The sequence below is a fragment of the Homo sapiens genome, chromosome 1 (assembly GCF_000001405.40).
Source record: "Homo sapiens chromosome 1, GRCh38.p14 Primary Assembly".
NCBI classification, from domain to species: Eukaryota; Metazoa; Chordata; class Mammalia; order Primates; family Hominidae; genus Homo; species Homo sapiens.
The window spans coordinates 185,230,194-185,247,681 of record NC_000001.11 but is presented as its reverse complement, the minus strand read 5'-3'; the positions used below and the strand labels follow the sequence as shown (position 1 = coordinate 185,247,681).

Below are 17,488 nucleotides of genomic sequence, written 5' to 3'. Positions count from 1 at the left end.
GCCTTCTTTATGCTTTCCCCTACATCACCCTGAGAATCCAGACAGACCTCTACAGAGCCAAACTGAAAATTTCCATGTATCAAGTTTCAGTACAACAAAATTTCCCTTATAATTGAGGTAGCTTCATCTTTATGATACATAAATATGAATCTCACTGAGAAATTAAATAGCTAAACAACTTTTTTTCTAAACAACTTTCAATGCAAAAAATGAAAGAGCAGATATAAGTCTAGAGAAAGCCTAAAGCATCAACAGTCCATTTGTCCAGTTACACATCCCACTATTTAACCTCCAGTATTTCCAACTGCTGACTCCACTTTCCTAACATTGTATCTTCCCCTTTCTTTTATCCCTTCTGAAATTGTGCCTTTACTTTAGTCCGTATGTCAGAGAGCCCCAGGTCACACATGTTGAAGTATCCAGGGGATAAGGTGGGAGTTCCACATTAGGGAGGAAAGGAGAGGTGTGTACCTTATTTATTGGCTTTCAATGTTCTTCAAGGCACTGCATTTTACATATGTCTGGTTAGATGATTTACAGATTATATTACTTATTGAATTAACCTTCATCAAATGGGTAACAGTTTAAGGGATTCCAACAAGAAACCTAAGGACTGAAGGTAATAATAATAAGGCAATCACACGCAATCAACAAGAAAAGAGCTGATGCCACTATTTCTAGTTTGAGTTTTTACCAGTCACAATAGAATGTAAAGAAAAATGATCTTAGAAGATCTTTAAAAAATTAGCCCCTGGTCAGGCATGGTGGCTCACACCTGTAATGCTAACACTTGAAGAAGCTGAGGTGGGAAGATCACTTGAGCCCAGGAGTTCAAGACCAGCCTGGAGGACATAGTGAGATCTTATCTACCAAAAATTTAAAATATTAGCCATGCATGGTGGAGTGCGCCTGTAGTCCTTCCTACTCAGGAGGCCGAGGCAGGAGAATCACCTGAAACCATGAGTTCCAGGCTGCAGTGAGCTATGATCATACAACTGCACCGTAGCCTGGATGACAAAGTGAGACCCCCCTCTATTAAAAAAAAAAAAAAAAAAAAAGCTCTCCAAAATATGAACATAATTAAGATATACAAATTAAAGGATATGGCCAGGTGCTGTGGCTCATGCCTCTAATCCTAACACTTTGAAAGACTGAGGAGGGTGGATAGCTTGAGCCCAGGAGTTCGAGACCAGCCTGATCAACATGGCAAGACCTGGTCTCTACAAAAAACACAAAAGTTAGCTGGGCGTGGTAGGGTATGCCTGTAGTCCCAGCTACTCGGGAGGCTGAGGTGGGAGAATCACCTGAGCCAGGAAGTGGAGGTCGCAGTGAGCCATGATGATGCCACTGCACTGCAGACTGAGCAACAGAGTGAGACTCCAAGAAAAGAAAAAATAAAAATTTAAAGGATGTGATACTAATCAGGATAGATCTGTCCCTCTGGCCATTTCTCCAACTATACTGGCATTTTAGGCCTGTAGAGATTAGCATTAACTCAGAGCCAGTATGTAGTAATTCCCTAAAAGGTCTAAGTACAGTTATGCACTGCACAATGACATTTTGGTCAACAATGGACCACATATATGATGGTGGTCCCATAAGATTATAATGTAAGACTGGGTGCGGTGGCTCACACCTGTAATCTCAGCACTTTGGGAGGCCGAGGTGGGCAGATCACCTGAGGTCAGGAATTCAAGACCAGCCTGGCTAACATGGTAAAACCCCCTCTATACAAAAATACAAAAATTAGCCAGGCATGATGGTGGGTGCCTGTAATCCCAGCTACTTGGGAGGCTGAGGTGGGAGAATCACTTCAACCTGGGAGGCAGAGGTTGCAGTGAGCCGAGATCACACCACTGTGCTCCAGCCTGGGCAACAGAGTGAGACTCTGTCTCAAAAAAAAAAAGATTATAATGTAAGATTATCAGCAAGAGTGGAAAAAAATTATACTAGAGCCGAAAAATTCCTATCACTTAGTAACTTCCTACTAGCACAACTCATTACTCATGTGGTTGTGGTGATGCTGGCATAAATAAACCTACTGCAGTGCCAGTCCTCTAAAAGTATAGCACATACAATTAAGTACAGCACATTATACTTAACAATGATAATAAACAACTATGTTACTGGTTCTTTTCTGTATTTACTATATTTACTCTACTATACTTTTTATTATTATTTTAGGGTATATTCCTTCTACTTATTAAAAAAGTTAACTAAAAAGAGCCTCAGGTAGGTTCTTTGAGAGGTATTTCAGAAGAAGGCACTGTTATCATAGGAGACAGCTCCATGTGTGTTACTATCTCTGAGGACCTTCCAGTGGGACAAGACATGGCGGTGGAAGACAGTGACACTGATGATCCTGACCCTGTGTAGGCCTAGGGTAATGTGTATGTTTCGTGTATTAGTTTTTAACAAAAAAGCTTAAAAAGTAAAAAATAAATAAAAATTGTTATAAAAAGAAAAAAGCTACAGAGTAAGGATATCAAGAAAGAAAATATTTTTATACAGTTGTACAATGTGTGTGTTTTCTAGAAAGCATAGATCTGAAAGGGGTGGTCCTTTTTTATTTTATTTTTAAATATAAAAAATCGTTCTTAGAGATGGGGTCTCACTCTGTTGCCCAAGCTGGAATGCAGTTATGCAATCATAGCTCACTTTAACCTTGAACTCGTGGGGGGCTCAAGCAATCCTCCTGCCTCAGCCTCCCAAGTAGCTGAGACTACAGACACACAACACCATGCCCAGCTAATTTTATTTTTTTGCAGAGACGGTGTCTCACTATGTTGCCTAGACTACTCTCGAACTCCGGGCTTCAAGCAAACCCCCTGCCTTGGCCTCCCAAAGTGCCGGGATTACAGGTGTCGGCCACCATGCCTGGCCATTGTTTGTGTTCTAAGCTAAGTGTTACTGGAAAAGAGTCAAAAAGTATTAAAAAATCAAAAGTTCATAAAATTAAAAAGTTATAACAACCTAAGGTTAATTTGTTATTGAAGAAAGAAAACATTTTTTAATTGAGTGGAGCCTAAGTGTACAGTGCTTATAGTCTATAGTAGTGTCATATCCAGGGCCTTCACATTCACTCACCACTCACCCACTGACTCACCACCCACCCACTGACTCACCCAGAGCACTTCCACTCCTGCAAGCTACATTGTGGTAAGTGTTCTATACAAGTATACCTTTTTTTTATCTTTTATACCGTATTTTTAAGCATGCCTTTTCTATGTTTACGTATGTTTAGGTACACAAATAATTACCATTGTGTTACAACTCCCTGTAGTATGTACAGTAGCATGCCATACAGGTTTGTAATCCAGCAGCAACAGGCCATTTACCATACAGCCTAGGTGTGTAGTGGGCTATTCCATCTAGATTTGTGTAAATACACTCTATAATGCTCACACAAGAACATGTATCCCCATCATTAAGATATGTATGACTAGCTGGGTGTGGTAGCTCACATCTGTAATCCCAGCACTTTAGGAGGCTGAGGCGAGAGGACAGCTTGAGAATAGGGGTTCAAGACCAGCCTGGCCAACACAGTGAGACCCTATCCCTATTTTTTTTTTAAGAAAAAGAATTATATATATTAAAAAAGAGAGAGAGATGTATGAGTGTATTTCCCTTTCTCTAGAATATAGGCAGCATGGGTAAATGGATGAAAGTCCATGAAAGAAGGCTGATCGATACATTCTATACTATTTTACACTCCAATAGCATACAAAACTGCTGACATTTTTATCAATAAGGTTTAAATAAAATCTGCGTAAAGTCACTATCTTTAATAATAAACATAATTTTGATTATTTTACTTATTTGTCTTATTTCAACAATTTGGCTGGAGAAAATATATAGCTACATGCTGTCAAAAATAATACATTAACTACATATATTTAAATAGTAATAAAGTAGCTTAATATTAGCAAAAAAATCAGACAATTTAAACTTAATAGTTCCAGTTACCTTATTGTTAAGAGAAAGTGTATATGTTGATTCTAAAAAGGTTTAACATGCCTTGTTAACAGGGATTGGCGCATCAAAATGTTTAATAATTCCAGAGGTTTCTGATATACGGTTAAGTATTTACTGAGTACCATCTATGTGGAAAACACTGTCCTGAGTTAAAATCAAACTTTTCTTACTATTGGAAAACACCCTTGAGGACATTGTATCACTTCTCACTACTGGCAGCTGGTTGGCCTACTGAGGTGCTAAAAGTTATTTAGAGGCACAAGAATATATTTCTCAAAATAGATAAAATTAATCCTAGGCCAGATGTGGTGGCTCACACCTGTAATCCCAGCAATTTGGGAAGCTGAAGAAGATGCATTGCTTGAGTCCAGGAGATCAAGACCAGCCTGGGCAACATGAAGAAACCCTGTCCCTACAAAAAGTACAAAAAATAGGCTGTGTGTGGTGGCACATGCCTGTAGTCCCAAGTACTCCAGAGGCTGAGGTGAGAGGATCACCTGAGCCCAGGAGGTGGAAGTTGCAGTGAGCTGAGATCACAGCACTGCACTCCAGCCTGGGCATCCGAGTGAAACCCTGTTTCAAAACAAACAAAAACCCAACTAGTTAGAATGTATCCTAGAGTATAGGGTATACTCTACCTTTACGCCTTTTATATAACTGCTTTGTAAGAATGAATTAGAACTGATCATCTGGCTTTATCCCATATACTTACTATACATACTTGTTATTTAAGTTAAAATTATTATGATAGCCCTTATTCAGACCCTTCTATTGATTTCTCCCTAATTTCATTTCTTTTACTGGTGTTTAACATCACTGACTTATTAGGTCATTTATTCCATCTGGTGGTTTTAGCATTTCTTAAAACGAGACTTAATAGCAAGGAATTTTAATTAAATATCAGAACAATAAATCATTAGGTAGAATTAGTCAGGTATAAAACAAGAAGTAAATTTTAAATAAAAGAACAGATTATAAATAAAAACTCCATAAACAAGTTAAAATATTTGTTGTCTTCAAGAAGTAATCTTCATATTATATTTAATTGCTTAATTTGGATGTGATTTGATAATTTATGATGGGATACATTTAACTCTGTCATCCAAAACTGAATTATACTGGCCAAGGGAACACTAACACCTAAGTCCACTCTAGGGGCGATGGGAATAACTGCGGCATTTCTCCGCTGATATAAGTATCAGCGGAGGTTACCTTAAAAGGTAAATATAAGGTCTTTATTTCCAATTCTTGAATGACAAATGCTGGGAAACACAGATAAGAGTTTTAGATATGTAAAATGAAATCCAGTTATTCTAAAAATTAAGTCATAGTGATGTATTATCTTCAGTAACATACAGACCCAGGTTTAAAAAAATCAGCTGGTTACTGAAAAATTCAGTCCGACTGATACGTGAATGCCACGTATTTTATCAGCTACTTTAATAAAAATTTTATTACATATTACATTTAAAATTTGATATACACATTAACTGTGCTTGTCAAACTGCAATATAGATACCATAAAAGCTCTTAATAACTGTCTATATTTTACACATATGACCTTATATGTGTCTATAATATAACAAGAACTGCCTGCTTATATTCCCTGAGTCTAACTCTTCCATTAGATCCTATCTTTCCTTCTACTAGCCCTATTTTACATAGTTGATCTAGAGAGTAATCCATAAGTAATAATCTATAGTTGATAAAGTAATCAAGGATAACAATGTAACCCGAAGAGACATTTGGGTGAATTACTGGAGGCTCCATCATCTGCTCCAGACATAAATGCCTTTTTAATCTCCTTAATCTCTCTCTCTTCCAGTCTTTCTCCTTCCTCCTGATTTTCTTATTCTTTAACCTTTCATAGCTTGCTCATCTCTCTTCTATACCTCTTTTAAAACCTCTACATTAACTATTCATCTAATGTCATAATGTAGTATAATTAGCATTCAGCCTTAAAAAAAGTTGCCTTCTATCACAAAGACTATAAAACACTCATTAAATAATCACTTACTGACCATCTACTATGTGTCATTACCTGTGCAAGGCTCCAGATACAGAAAAGTAAGACAGTTTCTGCCCTGGAGGCATTCAAAGTATTAAGGAACTGATTATAAAATAAATTATAAAAAATAAAATTATTTTTTACAAAATGGTGGCATGAAGGATGAAGCAACTAAGTCTTTTCATTTTTAAACAATAAATTGTATTATTTTTTCTTACTCAACAAAGCAACTGATATACTTGGTGATGAAAGGACAAGGTGTTGAAAGTCTGAGAAGGTAACTAAGTGATATCTGAGGAGCTGTGAAACCCTAACTGAAGAGTGGGAGGTGAAGCCTAATTATCTAAGGGTGAAAAGGCCAAGCCTCAAAGAAAGTAGGTCAGACACAAACATGAATAAACCCCTCCACTCTAGATAACAATGGCTGAATATTTTGCACACTGCAATGAGTTCAGAGTCTAAAAAGTCACTTCTAAACTTCAAAGGATGAAGTTTTTAAGGTCTTTATTTTCTACACATTAGCATGCCTGTGACAGAATCTTTAGTTTCAACAACTAGTTTAAAGAAGTAGCCTAAAGTGTGTTATCTTTGTGTAAAGTAAAGGATGACCTATTCTAAATAACCTTTTCCAAAATCTTAAGAGGTCAACTATCAATATATACAGTAAGTCAAAGAGGCGAAGTTAATAAAATTTTATCTCAAAAGCAAAAATCAGTATCTTTGAAGCATATTAGTGGATCTGAAAAGCTACTGTGATTTTAAGGTTTCTTTTCCCAGAAATAATGCATAAATATACCATATATGGTCTGTTCTTACGTTAAAATGGGGTAGGAGATTAAAAGGAAAATTAATTTTTAGAGGTTTAATAAGAAAACAAAATATATGCAAATCACACCCAAAAAACCCCAAACTTCATGACTGCAATTATTTTAGAAAAATAGCTGTCTAAAGTATTCCAAACTAAAGCCACAAGAATGTGACAGAGGTTATTAAAACTTAGAAGATTAAACAACTCAATAAAAATTAATCATCTTCCTTTCCTAAATTGAAACTGAGGTTTTATTTTCCAAAATCCTGTTCTATGATCAAGTACAAATGCCCATGCAGCATATGATTATGTCCAAACACAACGGTTAGCAGTCATTTATTGCTAAATTTAAATATGACCAAACAAAATGACAGCTAGAAAAAAAACTAAGCTATATACACTTGAGATATCTTTTAATATAAAAGCATGTCCTCAAAATGCACCTATTTATAAGGAATAGAAATTCCCTCTGCCTCTTTCCCACCCCAAATATGAGTCAAAATAATAAACCAAGAAAACACTCATTATCTCAAACATTTCAAATAAAGCTACTTCAGTTCATGAAACTCACATATGCAAAGTTTTACATGTTAAACCAAACATATTTGGGCATGAGCTAGTATATTTTTGGATTTAAAATATTACCTTTTTTTGTTTTTTAAAACATAATTTCTACCTTATTTTATAAAGGTGAAATACAAACATAAAACCTAAGCAAGTTAAAGTTTCTCACCTTCACCCTCCTTCTTAGCTTCTAAATCAGGCAGCTAGCTCATCATCTATTTCACAGAAACAGAAACATATCTACAACACTTGTATTGTTGCTTTGAATATTAGCTTTCAAGTTGAAGCTGCACGCATTTACAGTGTGCCTCAGAGTTGGATTACATGACCTGTTTAGTTAACTCTGCAAAGATGACAGTTTAAGCAAAAATACATGTAGACAATGTTTTTGATCAATATAGAAAGTAGAACTTTCCCTATTTTTAGAAATTTGCAATTCAACTCTCCAATTAATTTTGTTCCAAATGAAACTTTATCATCTTTATATACTAAGCAAAAGGTTTCTGTGGTCTTAAGAGTTACTTGATCAATCTAGACATAAGTTTACAAAAGTATAAATTAAGACTATGTAGTACTGACCAAAAACAAATCTTAAAACACTTTTGTCTATCTGAAAAAAAAATTATCAACATTGTCCTTGGCTATCTAGTGGTTAGATGAGAAAACTATTAACAAAAGTGCTCAAATTAATCCTGTATACATATAAAAGAAAAGATGAGGAGAGAAGCAATTTCTAAATGAATAGCAAATAAGCTAATTGAAGTTCTTCTCCTACCTAAAAAGAAAGTGTTCAGAAAATATAGGAATTTGCAAGATCCTCATCCCTTTTCTAACTTTGCAAAATTAGGTATTTTGCTGCCAAATATATAACCATACCGACAACTGCTCCACTAATTTTTCAATCTTAACCACAATCATGTTTAGAGTTTTCTTAAAACTGAAATACACATTTTAAACATTTCAAACTTCACATATCAACTTTAAGGAAAAAGCAAGATTAGCGCATGTAAACATAGTTAGAAAGTATTTTCACATACATCATTTCATACACTCTTCTAAAGAAGGTACCAGGATTCTCATTTAACAAGGAAAGAAACTGTGACTTAGAGGGTAAATGACATGCCCAAAGTCAGCTACAAGGGGATAAATCTAGAACTAGAACCCAAAGCTGTTAGTCTATCAAATATGTTTTCATTCACTTCTTTAACTGAAAGGCCAAGCTAAAGATCACCTGATTATCGAGCCCCAATATAACACTATATATGATCTACTATTTTTAAGATAAAAGGGAATAGAGCTAACATATAATCACTGAGCATGCATCTCAAAACCAAATGAAACTAGGTCATTTTAGCAAGCATCAAAAATGCTAATTTGCAGTCACTACAAATTGCATGCAATTTCAATATTTAATTTTAAATTTAAATTAAATTGTAAAATTTTAAAACAATATTTAGCAAAAAAATTTTTAAACTGAGCTTCTTTTGATTTAACATGATTTTGTTTCTTGAAAGATTTTAAGCACTACATGTACACTTGAAAAAATAATTATTAACTTTTATTAAATTTTAATTTAAATGCCTATTATCTGCCCGGTTTAAAAAAAAAAATTCACAATTTTGTAGTTTCCTGTTGATAAGTGAATGGTGAGTTAAGCAAACCAGTTTATTCACAATGCTCCCTACTGGTAGCTCAAGAGAAAAGCATTCTCTAATGTAACATTACAAAAAATTGCATTAGTTTTATTAAATGTGATCTCTCACCACCTGCATACAAATCCCCTGGAAAGCTTAAAAATACAACTTCCTTGCTCTACACAAATACCTACAGATATTTTTATTTAAGTTAGTCTGGGATAAAACCTTAAACTTTACATTTGTAACAAATTCCCCAACAAACAAGTTAAGAATTGCTGATGGTTAGTAATACCAACACCTTGCTCTCAAAGCACAATAGTAACCCCATGAAATGCTCTGGGAAGGTATTATTATGGCTGTTTTATGAACACTGAGGCTCAAGATAGCTTTAAAAATTTTCCCCAAGCCAGGCAAGGTGGCTCATGCCTGTAATCCCAGAATTTTGGGAGGCCAAGAAAGGAGGATCACTTGAGCCCAGGAGTTCAAGACCAGCCTGAGCAATATGGCAAACCCCATCTCTACAAAAAATACAAAAATTAGCTGACTGTGGTGGCATGTACCTGTAGTCCCAGCTACTCAGGAGACTGAGGTGGGAAGACTGCCTGAGTTCAGGAATTCGATGCTACAGTGAGCCGTGATTGCTCCACTGTACTCCAGCCTGGGAAACACAGTAATACTCTGTTTAAAAAAAAAAAAAATCACCCCAGGTCACATGCTAAAAGGTAGCAGAGCTACCAATCTTTTCTTATCCCTAGTGCTAGGTGTCCTTAAGATGAAAGAGTAACAAATTGTATTAGCCTTAAAATTCAAGTAATTATTTCTTTTAGATACTGCTTATGTAAGCAATACATGCTAAATCTTCTTAACCCTGGTTCCACCCACATCAGTTGGGGAGTCTGTAGAAATGTCTGACCAGGTCCCATTCTCAGATTCAGATTTAATAGGATTAAGGTAGGGCCCAACCACTGTTACTTTAGTATTATTATTATTTTATTATACTTTAAGTTCTGGGGTACATGTGCAGAATGGGCAGGTTTGTTACATAGGTATACACGTTCCATTGTGGTTTCCTGCACCCATTAACCCATCATCTACATTAGGTATTTCTCCTAATGCTATCCCTCCCCTAGACCCCACCCTGACAGGCCCCAGTGTGTGATGTTCCCCTCCCTGTGTCCATGTATTCTCACTGTTAAATTCCCACTTATGAGTGAGAACATGCAGTGTTTGGTTTTCTGTTCTTGTGTTAGTTTGCTGAGAATGATGGTTTCCAGAGTCATCCATCTCCCTGCAAAGGACATGAACTCATCCTTTTTTATGGCTGTATAGTATTCCATGGTGTATATGTGCCACACTTTCTTTATCCAGTCTATCATTGATAGGCATTTGGGTTGGTTTCAAGTCTTTGCTATTGTGAACACCGCTGCAATAAACATATGTGTGCATGTGTTTTTATAGTGGAATGACATATAGTCCTTTGGATATATACCCAGGAACGGGATTGCTGGGTCAAATGGTATTTCTAGATCTAGATCCTTGAGGAATCATCACACTGTCTTCCATGATGGTGGAAATAATTGCCACCAACAGTGAAAAAGCATTCCTATTTCTCCACATCCTCTCCAGCATCTGTTGTTTCTTCACTTTTTATGATCGCCATTCTAACAGGTGTGAGATAGTATCTCATTGTGCTTTTGATTTGCATTTCTCTAATGACTAGTGATGATGAGCTTTTTTCATGTTTGTTGGCTGCATAAATGTCTTCTTTTGAGAAGTGTCTGTTCATATCATTTGCCCACTTTTTGATGGGGTTGTTTTTTTCTTGTAAATCTATTTAAGTTCTTTGTATATTCTGGATATTAGCCCTTTGTCAGATGGATAGATTGCAAAAATTTTCTCCCATTCTGTAGGTTGCCTGTTCACTCTGATGATAGTTTCTTTTGCTGTGCAGAAGCTCTTTAATCAGAACCCATTGGTCTATTTTGGCTTTTGTTGCCATTGCTTTGGGTGTTTTAATCATGAAGTCTTTGCCCATGCCTATGTCCTGAATGGTATTGCCTAGGTTTTCTTCTAAAGTTTTTATGGTTTTAGGTCTTATGTTTAAGTCTTTAATCCCTCTTGAGTTAATTTTTGTGTAAGGTGTAAGGAAGGAATCCAGTTTCAGCTTTCTGCATATGGCTAGCCAGTTTTCCCAACACCATTTATTAAATAGGGAATCCTTTCCCCATTGCTTGTTTTTGTCAGGTTTGTCAAAGATCAAATGGTTGTAGATGTGTGGCATTACTTCTGAGGCCTCTGTTCTGTTCCATTGGTCTATGTCTCTGTTTTGGTACCAGTACCATGCTGTTTTTGTTACTGTAGCCTTCTAGTATGGTTTGAAGTCAGGTAGCGTGATGCCTCCAGTTTTGTTAGGATTGCTTAGGATTTTTTATTTTTTGCTTAGGATTGTCTTGGCTATGTGGGCTCTTTTTTGGTTCCATATGAAATTTAAAGTAGTTTTTTCCAATTCTGTGAAGAAAGTCAATGGTAGCTTGATCGGAATAGCAGTGAATCTATAAATTACTTTGGGCAGTATAGCCATTTTGATGATATTGATTCTTCCTACTCATGAGCATGAAATGTTTTTCTATTTGTTTGTGTCTTCTCTTATTTCTTTGAGCAGTGGTTTGTAGTTCTCATTGAAGAGGTCGTTCAAATCCCTTGTAAAAGTTGTATTCCTAGGTATTTTATTGTCTTTGTAGCAATTGTGAATGGGAGTTCACTCTTGATTTGGCTGTTTGTTATTATTGTAAAGGAATGCTTGTGATTTTTGCACATTGATTTTGTATCCTGAGACTTTGCTGAAGTTGCTTATCAGCTTAAGGAGATTTTGGGCTGAGACGATGGGGTTTTCTAAATATACAATCATGTCATCTGCAAACGGAGACAATTTGACCTCTTCTCTTCCTATTTGAATACCCTTTATTTCTTTCTCTTGCCTGATTGCCCTGGCCAGAACTTCCAATACTATGCTGAATTGGAGTGGTGAGAGAGGGCATCCTTGTCTTCTGCCAGGAATGCTTTCAGTTTTTGCCCATTCAGTATGATACTGGCTATGGGTTTGTCGTAAATAGCTCTTATTATTTTGAGATACATTGTATCAATACCGAGTTTACTGAGAGTTTTTAGCATGAAGGGCTGCTGAATTTTGTCAAAGGCCTTTTCTGCATCTATTGAGATAATCATGTGGTTTTTGTCTTTGGCTCTGTTTATATGCTGGATTACATTTATTGAATTGCGTATGTTGAACCAGCCTTGCATCTCAGGGATGAAGCTGACTTGATCATGGTGGATAAGCTTTTTGATGTGCTGCTGGATTTGGTGTGCCATAATTTTATTAGGATTTTCGCATTGATGTTCATCAGGGATATTTGCCTGAAATTTTCTTTTTTGTTGTGTCTCTGCCAGGTTTTGGTATCAGGATGATGCTGGCCTCATAAAATGCATTAGGGAGGATTCCCTCTTTTTCTATTGTTTGGAATAGTTTCAGAAGAAATGATACCAGCTCCTCTTTGTACCTCTGGTAGAATTCAGCTGTGAATCTGTCTAGTCCTGGACTTTTCTTTTGGTTGGTAGGCTATTAATTGCTGCCTCAATTTCAGAACTTGTTACTGGTCTATTCAGGGATTCGACTTCTTCCTGGTTTGGTCTTGGGAGGGTGTATGTGTCCAGAAATTTATCCAATTCTTCTAGATTTTCTAATTTATTTGCATAGAGGTGTTTATAAGTAGTCTCTGATGGTAGTTTGTATTTCTGTGGGATTGGTGGTGATATCCCCTTTATCATTTTTTATTGCATCTATTTGATTCTTCTCTCTTTTCTTCTTTATTAGTCTAGCTAGTGGCCTGCCATACAAGAGCTCCTGAAGGAAGCACTAAACATGGAAAGGAACAACCGGTACCAGCCACTGCAAAAACATACCAAATTGTACGTAAAGACCATCGACACTATGAAGAAACTGCACCAACTAACGGGCAAAGAAAACCAGCTAACATCATAATGGCAGGATTAAATTCACACATAACAATATTAACCTTAAATGTAAATGGGCTAAATGACCCAATTAAAAGGCACAGACTGGCTAATTGGATAAAGAATCAAGATCCATTGGTGTGCAGTATTCAGGAGACCCATCTCATGTGCAAAGACACACACAGGCTCAAAATAAAGGGATGGAGGAATATTTACGAAGCAAATAGAAAGAAAAAAAAGCAGGGGTTGCAATCCTAGTCTCTGATAAAACACACTTTAAACAAACAAAGATCAAAAGAGACAAAGGCATTACATAATGCTAAAGGAATTAATGCAACAAGAAGAGCTAACTATCCTAAATACATCTGTACCCAATACAGGAGTACCCAGATTCATAAAGCAAGTTCTTAGAGACCTACAAAGAGACTTAGACTCCTGCACAATAATAGTGGTAGACTTTAACACCCCACTGTCAATATTAGACAGATCAATGAGACAGAAAATTAACAAAGATATCCAGGACTTGAACTCAGCTCTGGACCAGGCAGACCTAACAGACATCTACAGAACTCTCCGCCCCAAATCAACAGAATATACATTCTTCTCAGCACCACACTGCCCTTATTTTAAAATTAGGCCGGGCGCAGAGGCTCACGCCTGTAATCCCAGCACTTTGGGAGGCTGAGGGGGGTGGATCATGAGGTCAGGAGATCGAGACCATCCTTGCTAACATGGTGAAACCCGGTCTCTACTAAAAATACAAAAAAATTAGCTGGGCATGGTGGCGGGTGCCTGTAGTCCCAGCTACTTGGGAGGCTGAGGCAGGAGAATGGCATGAACCCAGGAGGCGGAGCTTGCAGTGAGCTGAGATTGCGCTACTGCACTCCAGCCTGGGCGACAGAGCAAGACTCCGTCTCAAAAAATAAATAAATAAATAAATAAAATTGACCACATAATTCGAAGTAAAACACTCTTCAGCAAATGCAAAAGAATGTAAATCATAACAAACAGTCTCTCAGACCACAGTGCAATCAAATTAGAACTCAGGATTAAGAAACTCACTCAAAACCGCTCAACTACATGGAAAGTGAACAACCTGCTCCTGAATGACTACTGGGTACATAATGAAATGAAGGCAGAAATAAAGATATTCTTTTTGAAACCAATGAGAACAAAGACACAACATACCAGAATCTCTGGGACACATTTAAAGCAGTGTGTAGAGGGAAATTTATAGCACTAAATGCCCACAAGAGAAAGCAGGAAAGATCTAAAATTGACACTCTAACATCACAATTAAAAGAAGTAGAGAAGCAAGAGCAAACAAATTCAAAAGCTAGCAGAAGAAAAGAAATAAGTAAGATCAGAGCAGAAATGAAGGAGACAGAGACACGAAAAGCCCTTCAAAAACTCAATGAATCCAGGAGCTGGTTTTTTGAAAAGATCATTCCTATTTTTTTAAACTCCCAGGTGATTATAGTCTGCCACTAGGGCTGAGAATCACTTGGGCCAGTGATGCTCAGCCTTCAGCATGAACAGAATCACCTAGAGGACACAGACCTATAGGCCTCATACCCACAGTTTCTGATTGAATAAATCTGAGAGGGCCTGAAAATCTGCACTTTTAACAAGTTAGATGTGGTGATGATGCTGGTCTTGTGATTACACTTTGAGAACCACTAGATAAGCATATTGGCTAGAGGTTCTCAACCTTGCTGACACATATGAATTACCTGGGGAAATTTTTTAAATCTTCATTGCCAGGCACACCCCAGACTAATTACATATGAATCTCTAGGGTGGAGGATCCAGGCATCAATATGTTTTAAAGTTCCTAAAATTAAAAAAATTTCCTTACAGCAGAGGTTTATAAAGCCATTAATATGCTAATAATACAAGTGATTTCCCCAGAAGGTGGTATAGTATGCAATATTTCCAGTTTTTTGAACCAGAAACACTTCTGGCACATAATTAACAGCTCTGAATATCTGAAATACTGGCCTATCAGATAAAATGGAAACTGCTTTGCATGGCCTGAGACACACTCCTCCAACCTCGATCCAGCCTCATCTTTTGCCAACCCTTCCTCCCGCCACTGCATATATATATCTCTATTAAAATACTAATACCTTTTGATTGCAAGATCTGTTTTAATATGATTGAATTATTTCCACAGCTGTTTGGATTCAGAGGTCATATCTTATTTCTCTTTGGTCCCCAGTGCCTAGTACGATACCAAGTATAGCAGGTGTTCAATGAACATCTGCTGAGTTATTACTTTCTGTAGAAAATATACTGTCAAGTATGGCTTTTATGCAATCTAGAGTGAACAGAAGTTTTTACACAGCTAAAATCAGAACTCAATAGTTCACCCTTATGGAGCCACACTTATTTTAATAAGGCTTTAAATTATAAAGGGACTATTTGCATTTAGAGGTAACATTTAACTTGTGTTAGGATCTGCCATACTTTAAATTCATTAATAACTTAAGGGTGGCAGAAGTTTAGATAACTTTTTATTATAAGAATTATTTAGGCCAACTGCGATTCAAAAAGAGGCAAAAATGCCTTCTAGATTAACAAGGCAAAAATGCCTTGTATATTAACAATAGTTTGCAAAAACCATTCAAGAGAAATGAAAAAAAAATTTTTTGAAAATTCAAGTTTTTCAAACTTGAACATAGCAAAATCAACTCAGTTTTGTTTCTGTTTTAATTTACAAAGAACAGTATTTTTGTGTTATCAACCTATATATCTAATTCAGGTCAAACAATCTTGGTACATAACGATAAAACTGCAAAGGTTAGAAGTATCCTCCTTTAGTGCCACAAAAGAAAGCACTTGATTTCATGCTATAAAGTGCCACGGTCTATTCTATGTGACTCCTAGCAACTCTGAAAAAGTTGGTAAGCCTAGGAGAAAGAGAAAAGTAATAAGTAAATAACACTTTAAAATTAATATAGTGTTTACCTTTGAATTCCTTCAAGAATATCCCTCACAGCTGCCATTAACTTTTGAAGACATATAAATGCTTCTTCAAATGATGCTATATTTGAAGTAGTCAGAGCTGAATTTGAGCCCAATCTTTGAAATACATCCGTGCTAAAATAGAGAAAAAAAAGATACTCATAGGTATACATACATATTTAATGTAATTCAAGTATTTCAGCTGCAAATGTATAAAGTAAAGTAGTATTTATTATCACTAATCTCTCAGAATGCTGATCTATTTAAATTAGAAATAAAAGATAGTAAAATACGAAAGTCTGGGATAAGATTCATGTAAAGGATCTAGTTCAGACACTATACAGGTCTAATCTAAAGTAATACTATGAAAGTTGTGTGAATATTGTTTCATTCTAAGAGACAACAAGAGATAGAGGAGAAGTAATGCTATCCATCTGCATTCAAGTCAGTACTCAGGATGAGAACGATGAAGAAAAAAATTAGAGATCAGATTATTCCTGTTGAAACTAGAAGTTAATCCTAGTAATTTCACTTGTAGAAATTTATCGTAAATTAATAATAGTTATTCACAATTAGGCAACAATTAGTAACACCTTAAATGTATAACAATATAAGCAGTGTTAAGTCATCAGTAAGTTGGCCACTTGATAAAATACCAAACTAGGCTGGGCGAGACGGCTCACCCATGTCATCTCAACACTTTGAAAGGCCGAGGAGGGAGGATCACTTGAGGCCAGAAGTTTGAGACCTGCCTAGGCAACATCGTTCAACCTTGTCTCTAGAAAAAAAATTTAAAAATTAGAGAGGCGTGGTGGCACTGCCTGTAGTCCCAGCTACTTGGGAGGCTAAGGTGGGAGGATCGCTTGAACCCAGGAGGCCGAGGCTTCAGTGAGCTGTCATCGTGCCACTGCATTCCAGCCTGGGCAACAAAATGAGACCCTGTCTCAAAACAAAACAAACACACACACACACACACACACAAAACACCAAACTATTAAAATGATGCTTATGCCACCTATGAAATAGAAAAATAAAAGTAGAGAAAATTTACTTTATAACATAAGAACAACCATATAAAAATCCAAAACATGTTGTGCTTGGTTTGACTAGTGTCCCCCCATAATTCATATATTCACCCAGAACCTCAGAATGTTACCTTATTTGAAACAGGGTCTTTGAGATGTAATTAGTTAAGTTAAAATGAGGTCATGCTGGATTAGAATGGGCCCTACTCCATGTGAAGAAAAAGGCAGAGATGGGAGTGATACATCTACAAGGCAGGGACTGCTGGCAACTACCAGAAGAAAAGAGAAAGACATGAAACAGATCCTCCCTCAGAAACTCCAGAAGAACCAAGCCTGCAGACACTTGGATTTCAAATGTTTGGCCTCCAGGTCTGTGAGCAAATACATTTCTGTTGTTTTGGGCCAGCCAGTTTGTGATACTTTGCTACAGCAGCTGTAGGAAACTAATTACATTCCTAAAAAACAAGAATGAGTATGCTTAATAAATTCACAA

The 17,488-nt window shown here is 36.6% G+C and overlaps 1 protein-coding gene across 15 annotated transcripts in view; it reads right to left on the bottom strand.

Moving 5' to 3' along the window:
- SWT1 (SWT1 RNA endoribonuclease homolog) overlaps positions 1–17,488 on the bottom strand; it is a 134,722-nt gene that overhangs the window by 44,100 nt on the left and 73,134 nt on the right. For all 15 annotated transcript variants that reach the window (XM_005245271.3, NM_001105518.2, XM_047423246.1 and 12 more), the window contains one exon: positions 15,974–16,105. In XM_005245271.3, the coding sequence (XP_005245328.1) occupies positions 15,974–16,105 (132 nt within the window). The remainder of the gene's footprint in view (positions 1–15,973; positions 16,106–17,488) is intronic.